The sequence below is a fragment of the Homo sapiens genome, chromosome 2, assembly GCF_000001405.40.
Source record: "Homo sapiens chromosome 2, GRCh38.p14 Primary Assembly".
Classification (NCBI taxonomy): Eukaryota; Metazoa; Chordata; class Mammalia; order Primates; family Hominidae; genus Homo; species Homo sapiens.
Window position 1 is genome coordinate 111033859 of NC_000002.12, and position 17633 is coordinate 111051491.

The 17633-nt window shown below is 46.6% G+C and overlaps 1 protein-coding gene and 1 long non-coding RNA gene across 26 annotated transcripts in view, besides 4 other annotated features; one reads left to right on the top strand and one right to left on the bottom strand.

Moving 5' to 3' along the window:
- ACOXL (acyl-CoA oxidase like) overlaps nt 1–17633 on the top strand; it is a 385976-nt gene that overhangs the window by 301286 nt on the left and 67057 nt on the right. For 18 of the 25 annotated variants that reach the window (NM_001437600.1, NM_001142807.4, XM_011511411.4 and 15 more), the window contains one exon: nt 15360–15430. The exons of 6 other annotated variants lie outside the window; for them this stretch is intronic. In NM_001437600.1, coding sequence (NP_001424529.1) covers nt 15360–15430 — 71 coding nt within the window. Of the gene's footprint in view, nt 1–4143; nt 10004–15359; nt 15431–17633 lie in introns of those variants that run through there. One more of the 25 variants, XM_011511427.3, reaches the window with a different exon arrangement.
- On the bottom strand, nt 1347–16319 carry LOC124907866 (uncharacterized). The gene is made up of 2 exons (XR_007087182.1): nt 16203–16319; nt 1347–3064 (listed from the first exon to the last, which is right to left on the bottom strand). It is a non-coding gene; the product is annotated as an uncharacterized LOC124907866 (long non-coding RNA).
- Nucleotides 3423–3652: an enhancer, noted in NCBI's record as "active region_16377". NCBI's record gives its function as "activates an Ori minimal core promoter by ATAC-STARR-seq in GM12878 lymphoblastoid cells {active_cell/tissue: GM12878}" and the evidence as "EXISTENCE:reporter gene assay evidence [ECO:0000049][PMID:35858748]".
- Nucleotides 9427–9476: an enhancer, noted in NCBI's record as "active region_16378". NCBI's record gives its function as "activates an Ori minimal core promoter by ATAC-STARR-seq in GM12878 lymphoblastoid cells {active_cell/tissue: GM12878}" and the evidence as "EXISTENCE:reporter gene assay evidence [ECO:0000049][PMID:35858748]".
- Nucleotides 15994–16288: an enhancer, noted in NCBI's record as "tiled region #7769; HepG2 Activating DNase unmatched - State 8:EnhW". NCBI's record gives its function as "activates a minimal TATA promoter and a strong SV40 promoter by Sharpr-MPRA in HepG2 cells {active_cell/tissue: HepG2}" and the evidence as "EXISTENCE:reporter gene assay evidence [ECO:0000049][PMID:27701403]".
- Nucleotides 15994–16288: a silencer, noted in NCBI's record as "tiled region #7769; K562 Repressive non-DNase unmatched - State 21:Repr". NCBI's record gives its function as "represses a minimal TATA promoter and a strong SV40 promoter by Sharpr-MPRA in K562 cells {active_cell/tissue: K562}" and the evidence as "EXISTENCE:reporter gene assay evidence [ECO:0000049][PMID:27701403]".

The window sequence follows — 17633 nt, forward strand, 5'->3', positions numbered from 1 at the left end:
CTGGGACATGAGGATGGACTATATGGACTCCTGGTGCAAAACTTCTAAGCATTCAGAAATGTGATCAAGTTTGAAAAGGAAGGGGGAAGTCAAAGAATCACTGCACAATTCATTTCACCTTAGAAACATGACAGTTGAGCCTTGGGCTGCACAGCCTGCTTGCTGAGAGCACAGTGGAGCTTAGTGAGGACTGAGGATGGGGGCTCTGGAGTCAGGTCACCAGGTTCAGATCCCGGCTTTACCTCTACCAGCTGTGTGACTGTGAGTGAGTTACAAACCCTCTCTGAGCTTCAGTTTCTTCCTCATTTATAAAATGTAGAGAGCATGATATTTACCTCGTGGGGCTGTTGGAAATATTAAATGAGACAACGCTCCAAAGCTCTTGCCTTTGCATCTGGCTCTTTGTTAATGTTTAATAAAACCTTTTTATTACTGCTAATCACTACTCTAGGAAAACCTTAGTTCTTATAACCAAAGTAGAACATTTTCGACCTTGTTCCTTAAAGGGAAGAAAAAGAGGAAAATGAAACAGGTTAAGTCTGAGTGTATGAGGTCTTCACACCCGGAGAAAATATCAAGGATTTGATGATGGCACAGTACAAAATAAATCCAAATCAACCCTGAACCTTTTATTGGTTCATAACCACAGTAGCACAAGTGATTATTTTCAGGAAACTGGCTTCAGGTTCAATGTCAGATAAAGAGGACTTGGAAGTATAAAGAAAGTAATGGAAGAAAAATCATAAGAATTAGTTCAATGACAGCATTTAGAAAGCCCAGGAATGTTTTGAAATCGAGAAATCCATCTGTAATGAGGAGGTCTGTACAGAACGGGTCCTAAAGATAAGGATGCACTAAACATAACACTAGCCAGTAAAATTTCACCAGCGTATCATTACATTCAAATAGCATGTTACCCTCTGGCAGAGGCCTCCAGGGGATGGGAGAAGAAGTAGAAGGAGCCCATCTGTCTTCAGTGACCAGACCCAGATGTTGCCTTTGGAGCCTTTTGAAGGAAGAATGCATAGGAAGGAAGAGAAGGATCAGTCTGTTAAAGCACAGTCTTTTTTTTTTTTTTTGACGGAGTCTCGCTCTGTCGCCCAGGCTGGAGTGTAGTGGCATGATCTCTGCTCACTACTCTGGGGACTACAGGTGCCCGCCACCACACCCAGCTAATTTTTTGTATTTTAGTAGAGACGGGGTTTCACTGTGTTTGCCAGGGTGGTCTCAATCTCCTGACCTCGTGATCTGCCCACCTCGGCCTCCCAAAGTGCTGGGATTACAGGCGTGAGCCACCGTCCCCGGCCTAAAGCACAGTCTTAATGTCACCCCAGATGACAATGAACTCAGAATTTAGCCATTTTTATTAGGAACAAATGGAAAAACACCTTCTGGCATCTGTCTCCGTTTGTCACCTGAAAACTAGGGAAAACCGTGTTTGAAATAAAAATGTTAAGCAGTCTCTGGTGGTTTCCGTAGTGGGATGTAACTGTTACAATGATAAATCGTTATTTTTCTGTGATACACATTTTTGTCTTGCCCTAGAAAGTGCAGCTCTGAAGCCTTGGTGCTGTCTGAACCCCTAAGGGTGTACCAATTCCTAAACAAAAAAGGAGAAAGGAGGCACTTTTATTAAATAAATTACATCCACTACTTTCCAGCTCTGTGCAGAATTGTCTCTTGCTTTTCTCATTCTCGAAGCTTGTGAGTACTTCTCATTATGCAGCAGGAAGTCCTCTTTCTGGTTCTTAATAAAGTGACTAATAATTTAGAATGTTCATATTAAGAGCAGGTTGTAATTATAATTAGAATATATAATAATGTGGATTTCTGCCTATTGGGGATTAATTTCAGACTCCTCTCAAGGATGTATTTGTTTTGAAACAAGACTTTCTTTGTTAATAAAAACATGATCGCATGCATTATTAAAGCATTATTTCTGTATGTTATCCATTAGTGCTTGTTGCAGTATTCTTCCCGGGATCAGCATTTTCCTCTCAGTTGTTAGTGGGGCTATTCTTTATATAAACTACATTCACCTTGGTTTAGCTTTAGCTTTGACATTCATCCTCTAGGAAATTACGGGAATATCCCTACCGCCTCCTCAAATGTGCATTACATTATGCAAGCTCAGATAAACAAAATGCCACAACATCAGCCAGTAGTCCTGTGTGAATCTAGGTACTTTCCCCTTTTCACTCAACTAAATCCAAGATCATGAAGGACAAACCCGACTTGGGGTAGAACCAGAAGTTGTAAGACAACACTTCTCATTCTTTGACTGTTGGGTTTCTGCAGTGTTTTTCTGTTACTACTGGAGGTGGAGGCCTGGAGGGGAGGGGAAGAGTGGGAGGACCAGAGGTGCTAGTTGGCTGTGACACCTGTGTGCCTTCCTCTCCCCCAGTACCCATCTGCTGGTGTGTCTAACTTTAGAGAAGTCTCATGTGGCCCCACACAAGTGGCCTGAGGGAGGGAGGAAGGGAGGGAGGTAGGGAGGGAAGGAGCCCTGGGTGCCACTGCCCCTGCTTCTGGCCCCTGTCTTTGTCTAGCACCCGTTAAATGTGTGGGCAGTGGAAACCAGTGAGAAGGTCTGTTGCACCAAGAATAGGCAGATGGAATTCACTGCCAAATCCCAGTAGACCCAGCATCTTGGAGGTCCCAACATTGGGGAAGAGAAGGAATGTCCCCTGGCTTTGTTTTCTCTACTTCAGTCACACGGCCAAATCCTAGGCCTATGAGCAGTGCCTTTGGGAAAAAGGTGAACCTGGGAGTTGAGGGTCACCATTTCAGAGAGTGTGTGATGGCTGGGAGCAGCCTGGGGAGTCGAGGGAGTCCAGGGACACTGGGTCTCTGATGCTTGAGGTCTGGAAATCCAGGAGCTGGCAGAATATGGAGGGACACGAAAGTGAGAACTCACCTTCTGACTATACTCACACACAAAATTGCTTTGAGAGAGAGCGACGAAGCTTGTGGCCAATTGGAAGTCGGAGGGAGGCGCCTGGTGAAATGGAGACCAGCAGAAGTAGGAGCATGGAGGTCCCTTGTGCTCACATCAAGGAGGGCTCTTAGACAAAAAAGATGAGAAGGAAATTTGACTGGATGGAAGCATCGTAGTATGTAAAAATCTGGCAGAGCATGCCACTTTGCCAAAGTGGATTTTAATTTCATGGCACATTGGCCAAGAGACATGGGAAGAGAAGGTTTAAGAACACAGACTGCCCAACATGCTAGTAGCTCTGTGAAAAGCTCTCCTCTGACATCCTGCAGGTTGTGCCCGTCGGTCTTCATGCTGGGGTTCCCTCCCCAAGCTTCTCCATCTCCCCAAGCCATGTAGTTGAACTTCAGGTTTGGGTCAGCTGGGCCCTAAGAAGACCCCAAATGCTGTTTTCTGAAGAAGTGCTGTCACACCCCTGAACTTGGGAGCTTGTCCCTGAAGAAAGCTGTCTTTAGAGACTTCACTGACTCACTCTCCTTTGAAGGAAGTGAGAAATTCTGAGGTGGTTTTTTATCACCAGTGACCTGAAGACTCTGTTGCCCTGGGGAGAGGGGGAAGAAAGGCAAAAGCAAAGTCTGACACCCGAATGATGTGTGTTTTATGGAGGACTCTCAAGAACAGAAGTTAGTGGCTGTACTTGACCTAGATGCTAATGAAATGCCACCCTTTGAGCCCAGTCTAATGGCCAACACACAGCCATCTGTGTAATAATCACAGCCATCACAGCCATCTCCATCTATAGAAAATATTCTCTTTGCCAAAGACTCGCTAAATGCTTGGCCCTTGTAATTTGTTTAATCTCCACAACAACCTTGCAAAGCCCACTGAGGAAACTGAGGCTCAGAGGGGTGAACAACTGCTTGGGGTCACACGCTAATAAGCTGTGGCGTTATGACTTTGCCCCGGGGCCAGTTAACCCTACAGCTTTCCCCAGACAGACAGTGGAGCTCCTCAACCCCATCCACCGCACTCTTTAAGAGGTTTCTTTCCCACAGATGAATCCCAGAGAATGGGGGTTCTGGTGTTCTTGAGTTTTTGAAAGTCTTTCTTTGTGCATTTATTTATGGTAAAGTTAGCACGTACTGCTTCCTACTACTCTTACTGGATTTGCCTCCGAACAATGCTTCTTGTTTTTTTCTATTTCACAGAGTTTCTGTGAGGATTAAATGAAATAACATGGGTGGAAGCCCTAGGACCGTATGGAGCAAAGGGAGCCAACATTCAGTGAGGGCTCAGCCTATCAGGCCCTGTGCAAAATATTAGGGACAGAGCAACTCTAATCCCCCACTAGGCAGTGAGGAAGGAACCACTGCCTTCTCAACTTTCATCTGAGGAAACCGAGGCACAGAGAGGTTAATGAGTTGTCTAAGGTCACACAGTTAAAAGAGGCAGAAGGAAGACTCAAATCCCAGCAGGCTGCTACCATCTGCCCATGTTGCAGGGCTCCCAGTGCTCGTTGGAGCTGAATCTGGGAGCTCAGCATTTCTAAAGAAGCAAAATAAAATAAAAAATAAAATAAGCCCTTCCCACTTTTTAAATGTGTTTCCCACTTTTTAAATGTGTTTTCGCTCCTTTGTTTCCCACTCTGTGATCAAAAAATTGTACATTGTATGATGGACTGCAGAGATCTGGTCTACAGCCCCTGTTCATTTAACTTCTAATATCTAAGTAGTTTCAAAATATGGTTACATTAGTACCAAAATTGATGGGCAAAAGTAACACCAAAAGTAAAAAAAGAAATTATTTGCACCAAGTATACTGTATTTGTGAGTTTTCCACTGGGAACAGGATGGAGAATAAGACCTTCCAAACGGTGAATAAAAATAAAAGTATAGGAACTCTTGATTTATCATACACACTCTAGATATAATTTTGTATTTAAAAATATTATTCCATACCACATATTGTAAAGTTAAATATGTTTGCAGTAAACATACATTTAAATTTAGGTTTTAAAGGACATGTTCTAATCTCACAAAACATTTAGCAAATAACCTTTGAGCTCACATGAGCCACCCACACAAAAACCAAAATGAACTATAGAAAAAAAACATAGAAAAAGCAACTGTCTGTTGACAACCAGATTTTCTTTCAGCTCTTTGAGTTTTTCTTCTATAAATAATCTGTATGTTTCAAATGTGGCCATCTTCTTTAAAGGTGCCTCCTGGCATGTTCTCATTTCAGTGTGTCTTAAAAACAAGAATTAAATGTGTAAATCATGGAAACTATTGAGTTTTTGGAGGGGAGATCTTTAAGATACATGCTTTTTAGAAACCAAAAGTGTCAAAATGAAGCATTAAGATGATGTATTATTTCTTCAATGCATCTGTTTATCTTTTGTGAAATCTCAAGTTTGATAAATCACCAGAGATAAAAACATCATTTTTAACCTATCAGAGATCACAAGTGCCAGGAGGAAAAATAGTGCTTTGTCTCCTCTTTATGAATTTACCTCTCTCTTTGCTTATGACTTATGAGATTTTATTTGCAGAGAAAACATAATGCTCTATTAACTTGAAAATGATGGCTTTTACTCGAAACATGAGAACCAAAAAGAAAAAAAAAAAGGCAGCGTTTATCCTCTGAGATACAATCGTTTAACAAGTTTTGATATCTACTTAAAGTGGCACAGAATGTTAGAGGGGGAATATGTTAACAAGGTAATTAAAAGTGAGGTTTTCACCAGTATTTCACCTTTGTCTACTGACACGTAGAATCTCAGCTCTGGCTTATCAAAGCAGATATTGAATACTTTTGAATTTTTATATAACATTAGTGTAAGTAGAGATTGCTGGCCCCTATCTCTTGTGATTCTTTTTTGCCCCTGAAAATCACTCAGAAGTTCTCCCTTCATTGGCCACCTGGAAAATAAGATAATTCTCGTAGATTTTTATAACTATGGGTGAAAATTCTTCTGTGTCCAGGAGTGCAGCAACAAAGGACTTTGCAGTAGAGCTGGCTTCTAACCAGTTCTTTCTGTGAGCTAGAAGATTAAAGTGCACGAATCATGCAAGTAGGTTAGTCTGGAAAACATAACACAGCAGAAAAAAATGGCTTTCAAAAATGTTCAGAACAGCTGTTTCTCAGTATGTAAACCAGCCTCTTGGTGCAGTGGATATCAGAGTTCCTTGCCTTGTGCATATTTTATCATTCTTCGATCCTGAGCAGTTTAAGACAAAATAAATTTTATGCAAACCCATTCCAGGCCATGGGCATGCAGTTGAGTTTTTCTAGCAATTGTGCTATTTTAAGGAGACACCCAGGTTCTGCCCTAACACCAGAGGTGCCTAAGGTCGCAGCTGCTCAGGACCTGTGGCAGCTGTGAGCAGCTGAGCTCAGTTTGCTCTGTTCTTTCTTCTTGCAAGAATCACACAGACCATGTTGGTCCTATGGAATAGAATCACAATATTGCCTCAGACCATAGGACCAATACAGCAGAAGGTCCTGAGAAGCTGCGGCTTGCTCCATCTCTCAGCCTCCTACTGCTGCATGAAAAATAAACCTTGTAACTATGGAGCTGCCCCTCCTGAATCTGACATCTACTCAGTTATCCTTCGGAAACAATCCTGATGTGGAGCACCCTTCCTCATTCCCTTATCCACCCTTCTCGCCCCATATTTGTTGAAGTCCTGCCTTGTGCCAAGGACTGTGTTACACTCCAGGAATAAAAGGTCCAGTATGAAACAGCCCCTGCTCCCAAGGAGCACTGGTGAGAACTGAGATGAGAGCCCCCATAGACTAGGAGCCCTGAGAGAACACGGAAGAGACACAAGCTGGGCAGGGGGTGCAGGGTCCACGCGGCTCCCCACGAAGTTCCAGTGAGGCAAGCAGCATTTGAGACTTTGCCTTTTGAAGGGCAGGTAGAATTTAGCTATCTGGAAGGTGGAAAGGACATTCCGAGCAGATGGAAGAACCAGGAGGGAGGCATGAAGTGCGTGGATGACTTGGGAAAGTGCTTGTGGCTTGGTGTGGTCGGGGTGTAGGGCCAATGTGAGGGTGAACAGCAGGGTCCCACAGGGCCTGAGTGCCAAGGCCCGTAGCTGTCATTGTCAACTCCCACTGTCAGTGGGGAGTCTTGGAAAAAGCTTTGGGAAGATTTCTTCAGGTGTGGAGGTGAACAGCTCTGAGGACAGGAACTGAGGAGCAACAGCAGCAGGCCTGCGTGGAGGGGTGGGTTCTGGAGGTGCGAGGGCAAAGGGGCCTGGAGGGCCTCCAGGTGGAGGGTGAGCTATGAGGAAAAGCCAAGGGCTTCTTCTGGGCACCAAGGTGGAGAGGAGAGAACTGGGTCCAACTCAGCTTGGACGTGTGGCGCATGCATGACCTGGGGCCACACATGCAGATGCCGAGACAGGCGCGTGGCAGAGAGGACTGCAGGGCCTCGTAACATCCAGGTCCTGAGCCTGAGCACTATATTAAATGGGAGGGCGAATCGCTGCAAGGTGGAAAACAGGATCAATGCCACGCATGAGGCAATTGCAGCTGTCCTATCCATTATCTTCCCAATTTAAGTGTGACACTGGAGTCCACAGTGTTTGTTTCCCAAAATTGGCTGACTCTTGTTCCGCTGATGGGACAGTGGTGGTTGTGATGGCCTCCAGCTGAGCGTTAGTGTCAAAGTTGTCCTTCCATGCAGGTGAAGGGGGATCTGCAGGTGGGACAGAGCCGGGCCATGGGGAGGCTCACACTGGCTGCTGGAGATGACACTGGGGAAAAGATGTGGTGACAGTGGCTGCCGCCTCTGGCTGCCCCCGGCTCTACACCTTGCTCTTGGCTAAGACTGGAGCAGGCCCCAGGAAGCAGCCTTTGGCCATGGTGAGCCAAGGCCATGTCAAATAGGGGACAGCGTGCCACTGTCCACCTGGGGGAGGGCAGCCCCCTGCACACAGGGAGTCCGTGGGCTCCAGAAGGGGTCCAGATGAGCTGTGCCGTCATCTCTTCCTGAGTGAATGGTGCATTTGCCCCAAGCTGAAAGGGCTCTGCCATTCAGGAAAGCAGGTGACCACTGTGCTCTGTCTCCCGACTTTGTGCCTGAGCCAAAGACTACAGATTGTTCCCTTAGCAACCAGCAGAGAGCCCTAAGAAGGAGGATGAATGTCTCGGGTTTGCAATGCCCCCCATGTGGAGAGAGGGCAGCTGCTTTTCTCCCTGAGCCCAGAACACGGCAGGCAGGTTGGGCTCCTTCAGGCCCCCCAGCCCCTTTGGGAACTGCTCACATCTAGGATTTTGCAACCAGTTCTCCACATTTCACTCCCATGGTGCAGTCTAGAATAAAGACTTCTAAGATGTCAGTCAGCCCCCATTACGTTCCCATCCCTGGGACTGGCCAAACTGGCATTTTGCCTGCCTAGGGAAATACAGTCTTAGTCTTAGTCTTAGTATAGACTCACTTAGTTTATTTGCTTAGAAGGTTTTCAGTACCTCCTATTTGCCAGACTTAGGACTCAGATTATCAGAACAATGTGACGCTTTTCAATCCAGCAGAGGGAATAGGATGTGAACACAGCGCCCACACACACATGGAGCAGGAGAGCCTGTGAGAGGTGCAGGCTCCCTGCACGGCCACAGGCTCCCACGTGGTGTCACAGAAGACCCATTGGTGCTGGGTCTTGAAACATGCATAGGTTCCCGAAGGTGGGGACGTGGCTCTGCAGGATGGGAAGAAGCCATAGAGTGGACAGAAGTGGAGGTGGCAGAGTGAAGGGCTTGAACAGGGAATGACAAGGGGCCTGCCTTATCAGGAGGAAGGTGTTTGGGAGAAAGGCCAAGAAACAATATTGAGAGAATGAGCCTGGAAAAGTGGGCCAGGGTGGGTCGTGAGGTGTGCTGGATGCTACATCATGGAGCTTAGCCTCTGCTGGGCAGCAGTAGCTGGCCAAGGAAGGGAAGGAGTTGGAGAGTGACCATCACACCAGGACTCCCTGGAGGGAAAGTTTCCTGGCTTCGGGGGATGCGGTGCTTTGGAGAAAGAGACCCCAGAGTGGAGCTGGATGGAGGATGGAGACCAAAACAAGTGGATGTGACCAGCAAGCCAGAGGACAAAGATCTGCAAAGAGGTCGTGGCAGTGGGGGTCGAAAGGAGGGTTGGCATTGGAGGAGCAGTGGCCCATTGCCATCCTGGAGGAAGCTGTCCCTTGGGAAGTGCTGAGATCCCAGTGTTCGGAGCAGAAAACATGTTGAGACTTAGTTGTAGACCAAGAGCTTGTCTGCCAGAGAAGAGATGCATGCTGGCTCCTGTGGGCTTTCAGTTGTGGGGCCAGAGAAAAGGAGGGCCACATGTGTCATGCTCTGCCGCTCTCTGGAACAGAGGTGCTTTCTGACAGGGCAGGCTGGGGGACAGTGAGCAGGGCCCTCACCCTCTCGTGGAGGTCCCCCGAGGGCCAGCTCCACACCCCCCACCACATCTCAACGTGCAGGAGACTGGCTGCACCATGACTGCTGGTTGCGAAGAAGTTAAAGGCCCCTGTCAACCCTCCGTGTTGATTCTGAAAACAAAGCCAGAGTTCTTTCTGCAAAACGAAGCCTTTTTGTTTCTCTCTCTCTCTTTCAACATTTCCCTGTTGTGTTATGAAAAAGAGGTGGGTGGGGGACTTCAGAAGCTGTCTGGAGTGGCAGACAGCTCTGCAGGATGAGCTGAGAGCGCCGCAGTCACACACAGGTGGGAGGAGAGGGCTGAGGGACAGTGGGCGCAGTGTCCCACCTCGTGGTGCGGTCAGTGGAGAAGGAGTCATCGATAAGGGGCCCCTGGCCAGGAGCCTCAGATATGGCTGCTGGGGAGCTTGACCCTCAAGGCTCTCAAGGAGAGGCTGGTGAGGAGACGTGGGGCCCTCTACTTCTGGTGCCAGGGAAGCCTCAGTAAGGGAGGTCGCTGCCTCTAGAGAAGGCTGCCTGGTTCCCAGCAATGCTCAGCCATCAAACTCCTCCAGAGGAGCTGTCCATGGAGGGGTAGGTGTCAGCCCCCATATTTCTGCCACAACTAAGAGGAAGCTGGCTTCCTCATCTTCACTGTAGGTATCTGAGATGAGAGCCACATTTCCCTACCAGACTGAAGCTCAGCTGGTGCAATCTCCTCTTTCCAGGGACCTGGTATTTTAGTGCCAGGTCTTCCTTCCCTACCAGGAAGGAGCCTGCCCCTCCTATGTGGGGCCCAGGGCAGAATTACAAAGCAAGCTTACAACATGTTGAAGAAAATCTACTCTGCCCTCCTGCCCTGACAAATGTAGCTTTGTTCATCCAGAAGGCCAGATTCGAATTTAGAATGCCCAGGCTCCTAGCAGTTATGTGAACTCTGCAGCATGGTGAGAAGCAGCCCTTTGGCCCACCTCTCTCTCATTGCACCTCCAGGTCTACCCTACACTGTGCAGATCATCTGGTCTAGACACTCAAGGTCTGTCCACATCCCTGCAATCAGCTGCCCCTTGGCTACCCCATGGGTCTAGAGTGGACACGGCAGTGGTGTGGTTCCCCAGTAGCAACACATCGCAGAAAAGAGGCTTAAGGTATTTGGGTCAGGAAACAAGAGAACTGGTCCCTGGAGGAGTGGGTGCAAGTTCCAGGTGGGCAGTACCCATAGCCCCATGGGCAGGGCCCTCTAAAGCTTAGCCGCAGGGGCAGGGCCCCTATTATCGAGGGCCCTGGCGCAAAGATTGCGAGAGAAGCTGAAAGAACATTCTGAGACGGGATTTCTGAGCACTGAAGCCCCAGGTGCAGGTTATAGGTCAGGGTCAACTGTACCTGCTAACTTAGTGACAGGTGCCCAATCTGACCAGCAATATTTCAAGAGGAAAATCAGTACAATGGTATTGTGGGTTTGCTTTGTTTTGTCTTCCCCCTTATTCGAAACAGCATATTATAATGAAATTTATTCTAGGTGCAACCATTTCCTTGGGTGTTAGGTATCTCCCATTTTGTAAGGTTCTACCTTACAGCAATGACTGCAGGGGATGAGGCCATTGTAGATCATTTACTGCCGACCATTGCAGCAGAGGAAACCTGTTTCATGCTGCTCCATATTTTTTTCTCCCAAATGACCATTGTTTACTTGAATCAGGTGTTTATTTCCCTATGCTTCCTCTCCTTGATCCCCAACCTCAAAGCCACTTGTTATCTAAAAGTCTCTGGTTCTCCCTTCTTTTGTCACACAAAGGTGGAAAAGTCCAACCAAGGAGAACTTAACTCTACTCAGACAGGTGGAAGCCTCAGCCTCCCACTACTGACATGAACAGTACTGGGACACTTAGGCGCAGTTGAGACATGTTGAAGCAAGAAAGTGATTCCGCCAAGAGTCCCTTAGGGAGACTCATGCCCCAGGGAGACTTTGCATTTTGTTGGCACTAGTTTGGCTGTGTATCTTATTTTCATTAGGCAGTCGATCCCTTGAATCAGCAACAAAGGTAGAAGAAAGTAGATACGACAACTGCTTTCATTTTGAGGTTTTTTCCTCCTATTTAAAAGTTGGGGAGGAAGAAGGGAGGGGTCATGAAATGTCAACTTGTCATGAGGCTTCTCTTGCAAGTTGTCACTGAATCAGCTGTCAGGGAAAGTGGCCGCACAGACCTGTTCTCATAGTGAGTGAGTTCTCATGAGATCTGATGGTTTTATAAGGGGCTTTTCCCCCTTTTGCTCAGCACTGCTTCGTGCCGCCACGTGAAGGACGTGTTTGCTTCCCCTTCTGCCATGATTGTAAGTTTCCTGAGGCCTCCCCAACCCTGCAGAACTGTGTCAATTAAACCTCTTTCCTTTATAAATTACCCACTCTCAGGTATGTCTTTATGAAAACCTAATGGTTTTCACCCCCTCTTCTCTTTTGGGATTTGGTAGAAATGAGAGTGGGGTGAGGGGAGAGAGAAACCTGCACTGGCATAGTAGCCTGTGTCACACTGACATCTGGGGTGAGGGGAAAAAGCCGAGACATAGGTGCATGCTGCTTTTGTTGGGCCTCTGTTCTGAAGGTTGGTTTTTGTCATCTGTGTAGAAAGGGCTGTAGGCTGCTAGCCCCATAAAACTCAGCCAGCCCACGAAGGGCACTGGACTGAAGTGTGGCCTTGTGTTCCTACACGTGCACTTCAGTCCAGTTCCACAAAACGGGGTCATGGCTGTGGGCATGCTGGACATCATGGGGACAGGACAGAGTCTGGGATAGGATCCAAGCCCATCTCCTGCACCCTCTCCTGAGGCCAGGGCAGCCCGGACATCTAAACACTAGAGACTGATTGGGAAGGAAAAACTCCATGTGTCATGTGTCACATCAAGGCATCGAACAGGGAACAGGGGAGACTTAGAGAAATCTTTGTACAGGAACCTAAGATGGAGTGCAGACTCACTGCCAGCACCGTTTCTTTACACACAGCCTCACACCTGCTCCAGCAAGTGGGCTCCGGGCTCCACACGTCACTGATGAGGAAGCGAGGCTCAGCAAGGCTGTGTGACTTGTCTAAGGACACACAGCTGGAAGTGGCAGAGGGAAGATTTAAAGTCAGGTCTGTCTGATGCCAAACCTGTGTTGAGACTACTCCCCATGCTGGCCCTGGAGAAGGGTGGTATATTAGTTCTTTCTCATGCTGCTAATAAAGACATACCCAAGACTGGGTAATTTATGAAGGAAAGAGGTTTAATTGACTCACAGTTCTGCAGGGTTGGGGAGGCCTCAAGAAACTTACAATCATGGCAGAAAGGGAAGCAAACACGTCCTTCTTCACATGGTGGCAGGAAGGAAAAGTGCCGAGCAAAAGGGGGAAATGCCCTGTATAAAACCATCAGATCTCATGAGAACTCACTATCATGAGAACAGTATGGAGGGTAACCACCCCCATGATTCATTTACCTCCCACTGTGTCCCCTCCCGTGACATGCGGAGATTATGGGAGCTACAATTCAAGATGAGATTTGAGTGGGGATACAACCAAACCATATCAGGTGGGATCCTGGCCAACCTGAGGAGACAGGGAGGGAGTGCATGGCCCAAGATGGAACCCTGCATGAATGAGAGTCAGGAGCCATCAGGGTGGTTTGCACGGGGAAGAGGGGCTAGGCCTGGTGTGGTGAGGAGGAATGCAGGCCATAGGCATAGGGCTCCAGCAGGGCCAGGCTCAGAGTGGTGGCAGCAGTGGGCATGGAGGCTGGGAAAGAGCGAGAAGTTCTCCAGAAATCAAAGTGGCAGCACTACTGTGGGAAAGTGGTGCATCCAAGGGACATCATCGTACAAGAGTCAGCAGGCATGGGGTCCTGAGGGAGAAATCAAAGAATCAGGCTCAGTGGCCTGGTGGCTGGAGGATGATAGTCCCACAGAAATGGGAAAAAGTTGGAAAGGGCTGGCTTGGTATGGAAGTTGACTGGTTTGGATTGGATGTACAGAGTTCAAGGTAACTTGAAGTGGGTGCTATGTCTATGATAACGAAAAGTATCATAGTGGAGTCCAGTGCACAGGCAGTGAGAAGTATGAACACAGGGTCACCACAGAGAGGAGAGAGCTGTCAGTGAGAATCCAGTAGCTCTCTAAGGAAGCAAGTGTTTCAATTTCCCTGACCTGCACTAAGTAAGATTCTAAGTTACAGCATAAACCTTTACCAAATAAAATAGCCACCTTAAAAAGGTGATCTAAAGAAAACCTAGCACCTGAATTTGTAGATTATTCTTTAGCCATCCTCAGACAGTAGTCAGAGATCAATATGTTATCACACCAAATCAGATCACAGCAAAAGTCCAAAACTGAGGACGGAGTTGAGGGAGAGAGGTCTTGCCTCCAGGGTCTTTCCCAGGCAGGTGTATTCTGAATGAGTGACAGCAAAAGCATTCGTGTAAACTTAACACAGCTTGGGCCCTTATCTCAATGTACAAGTTTCTGCTGAGCCACTTTTATAGGCAAAGTTAATTTTTAAAAAAGATTAAATTGATGATTCTATGTAATTAACACTGGTTTCTGCCAATTGAAGACTGGGTGGGTATATGCATTGGAGAGCATGTGGAAGGCAACATTGATCTCTCTATGGATCCCAAGTATGTCTTGACTGGATAGAGCAAAATTTAAACTTGGAAGAAATAATCAGCACCAGATACAACTGATAGCAGTCAAGATGGCATGGAGTAATTTAGTCAGAGATGAAAGCAGTCTAAGGAATTCTATTTTAGAGTAACATTGAAAACTACAAACAACCTACCCAGACAATATTTTCTTGATGAAAATTCATCATTGCTGATATAGTTCTCTTTAAAATATCTGTATTTGTAGACATGACATCCAGGCATGCTTGAGGTCAAATCATTGGAATCAGACTGTCCCTCAGCCTTGAGGCTGAGTTTAGCTCTGCCCACCTTTGTGGGATCTGCGGGAGTTGGGATGGGACCAGAGGGCAATCAATGTCTTTATTGGCTGGATGGGTGGGCTTGGGATGTTCAGTTGGAGGACTGAGTTTTGCTCTACTCAAAGACAAGAGGCAGAACTCTTCCCAGCAGAGAGCAATGAAAGGTCATAGAGGGTAAAGAGTGAACGCAGCTTTGAGTATAGCAATCAAAGGCTAAACTAGTTGGGTTAACTTAGTAAAAGCCTTAATGCGTGTCAAATAAGTGGTTTTAAATCTGAGGGTGGCAGAGAATTGTGGGAGCATTTTCAAGCATGAAACAATGTAGTCAACACAGCCTACAGGAGGGCAGTCTGTGACTTACACCAAAATAAAAATTGGTCACCACATAAGTGAGCCTTTGATGAGAACCTGGCCATAAATATGAGAAGGGGAATGTAATTTTGTAAATTTTCTAGATTAATATTCCTAGAGCTTTCATGGCCAATTTCAATGGATTACTAAAACTTTTTTTTTTTCTCGTAAATCTTCTTGGGTTTCTCTTCCCTATTCTCCTTGAGAAGGTTGGTTGGAGAAAGACGACTTTATATATTTGGGGGAGTTTGTGGGGTTTGAGTCAACACTTGGGGCCATACACCAAGAGAAGAGTTAAAGCCATGGAAATCATGATGGAAGATTGAGATTTTTTAAATTAGCACTGTCAAATTTACAAAGGCAGGTGGAGTCTTCTCAATGAAGGTCCCAGGAAATGGAGATAGAGTGTCATCTCTGGGGACAAGATGACCCAAAAGGAAGCTGAACCCAGGACCTCCTGGCAGTTTAGGGAGGAGCTTTGCTGATGGGAATGGCCTTGTACTCTACTGTAATGACTCTGTCTGATGGGGTGGAGAAGTCACTGTACGGGGGCCCCTGACCCATGCAGGGGACAGTTGGGGAGCTCTGCCATGTCACCAAGGAAGGACGGACAGCATGCTGTTTACGTCTGTTATAACCACAGTGTCCTCCTTCACATCAGAAGGGCTCTGAGGCGGAAGTGAAGTCATTCACAATTTCCATTTCTTCCCTTCCAGTTACCTTAGAGCAGTTCTCCCTAGCAGTGAAGAGCTGTCCTGACCAAGAGGACCAGACTTTGTTAATGAAGGTAGGTTATCAGATAAAGAACTTATTTCCTAAAGGCTCAGAGCGTTTTTATTGCCCTGAGGAGAGTTTCATTTTTACAAGCGGGAGTAAATTTATCATGTCTGAATCGTGTGCTCCAGGGGGATAAGCTTGTCATAGGCGAATTGGAGGGTTGCTGGTTAACGAGCACCACTGCTGCCTGCGGAGTGCGGGAAAGTGACAGGAGAGTGGGTGTCCACATGAGTGGGGAATCTGTTTAACTCTCCAGAGGGCTCAGTTGGTTCTATTTAAACTTATCTGATGGAGTCTTGATGCTTTTTTAGCAGATTTATGAGGCTTGGCCAAATTCCACATCTCCCACTATATTTTTAATTAAGACAAAGGATTCCATACGTTCCCAGTCTGCTGCTTCCTACTTTTGGCACCTTAAGGAATGCTACACAAATTAGACTGTTCATATTCACCACCAGAATGAGCATCTTATGTCATAGATTCCTTGCCCTTGAGTGGAAGACAAGCTTCTTCCCCCCAACCCCCCGCCCCAAGGAACAGTTGTTTTATTTCCTTCCAAGTGACAGGAGCAGAGGCATTTCCAAATGGTATAACCTGCACTTAGGCTGCCTACCTAGGTGAGCCAAAAGTGTGGAAAACCCTGGCAAGCTGCCCACCTGGATTTAATTAAAACTTTGTCTTTGAAGCAGAGAGCAGTAAACAGCAGCAGATCACAAAGGTGCACACACATACTTTCCCACCACTAAGACTCATGCTTTCACACAGAAACCTTGCAGACTGACCTTGAGGTACAAATATTTCCATGATGTCACTTCAGTGCTGTACCACCAGGAAACCGCGTGCACCAGGAATTGCATTTCTTTATCTAAAAACCAGCTTCTTTACCAGGTGTCCTCTGACTTTAGAAATGGGTGGAAAAAAAATAGGGTGTCACTCTGAGGGATTTTCAACTCATTTGCCTAAGATGTGATATTTTTGGTCTTTAAAAAAAAAAAAGCTTTCAGTGATGTTAGTTTTATAATAAAGAAGCGCTGCTCATACCAAGTGTTGGGTTTGTCTGGGAACCCTGATTTTTCAGAGTCCTGGGCGTCTGATACACTGACTTAGAATGATATAGATTCAGGCACATGGGCGTTTCTTGTTTGCCACGCTTAATTCTCTGTTTCCTGCTTTAAGTTCTATTCTGCAAGGACCTTTCCTTCCAGGTGCAGGCTGGCTTTCCATGACCTTGAAGCAGCTCTTGGGCCCTGGATGCTCACCTCTTTTCTCTGCTCACCGGCCTTTGGTCTTTCTTCCCTCTATCCTGTGTTTTCTCCTACCATTTGCTTCTTGCTTCTCTCTTGTTCTTCTCCTACTGTCCATCTCTCCCCATTTGCAGGAGGTGAAGCTCCTGGGCTCCCCTGGAGGTTACATGGGCATCTCAGAGGCATTTTGGGGTACAGAGGGCAGCGACAGAGCCCAGCCCCAGAGACCACACCTCCAGGCCTGCTTCTAGTGGTCCTCATGGCCTCCCCGACTTGGGATGCCGCAGCCCCCTCTGAGTTTCTTCACATCTAGAGTGAGAGGTGAAAAGAGATGTAACCAAAGGCCCCTCCTCCTCTCACCATTTCACCTTCTTGCTGACTTTCATGGTGCTCTGGCTGGCTTCTCTAGCACATTCGGTTAGAAACTAACAGATTGGGGTTGGGAGAGGAAGGCTAAGATGGCCTGAGGTTTCCTGGAATTTGCGTGACCTCCAGTGGCGTTCAGTATTTTGTGTCTTACCTGTTGGTTTCTGCAGACTGTGTGGCCTCAGCAACAGAGGATGATTTATGTGGGCGTTTTCTCAATATTTGCAAATATTTGAACAGGCATCATCAAAGAAAGAAGTTTCACTGAACAAAAACGTGTGCCGAGTTCATATATACTGAAACTATTTTATGATTTTTTTTAGGAGATTGAGGTTTTCTAATGTCACATATCAGAAGGCACCATGTGGGTGTGACAATGGTATGCTGGGTTTTTGTAGATGTTATGTGAGAAAACCTATTCAGGGTGACAGTAGATTATTTTGACTACAGTCAGCCTGCAGGTGATTGTATGTTTGCTCTAGTGAGCTATCCACTTTGCAGACTGTCTGAAATAAATTCCCACATTTAACTTAACCTCATGAAAACTTGTTGGAGGCAAAAAACGTAGATCTGGGCCAAATATGATATATATTTTTTTGAGAC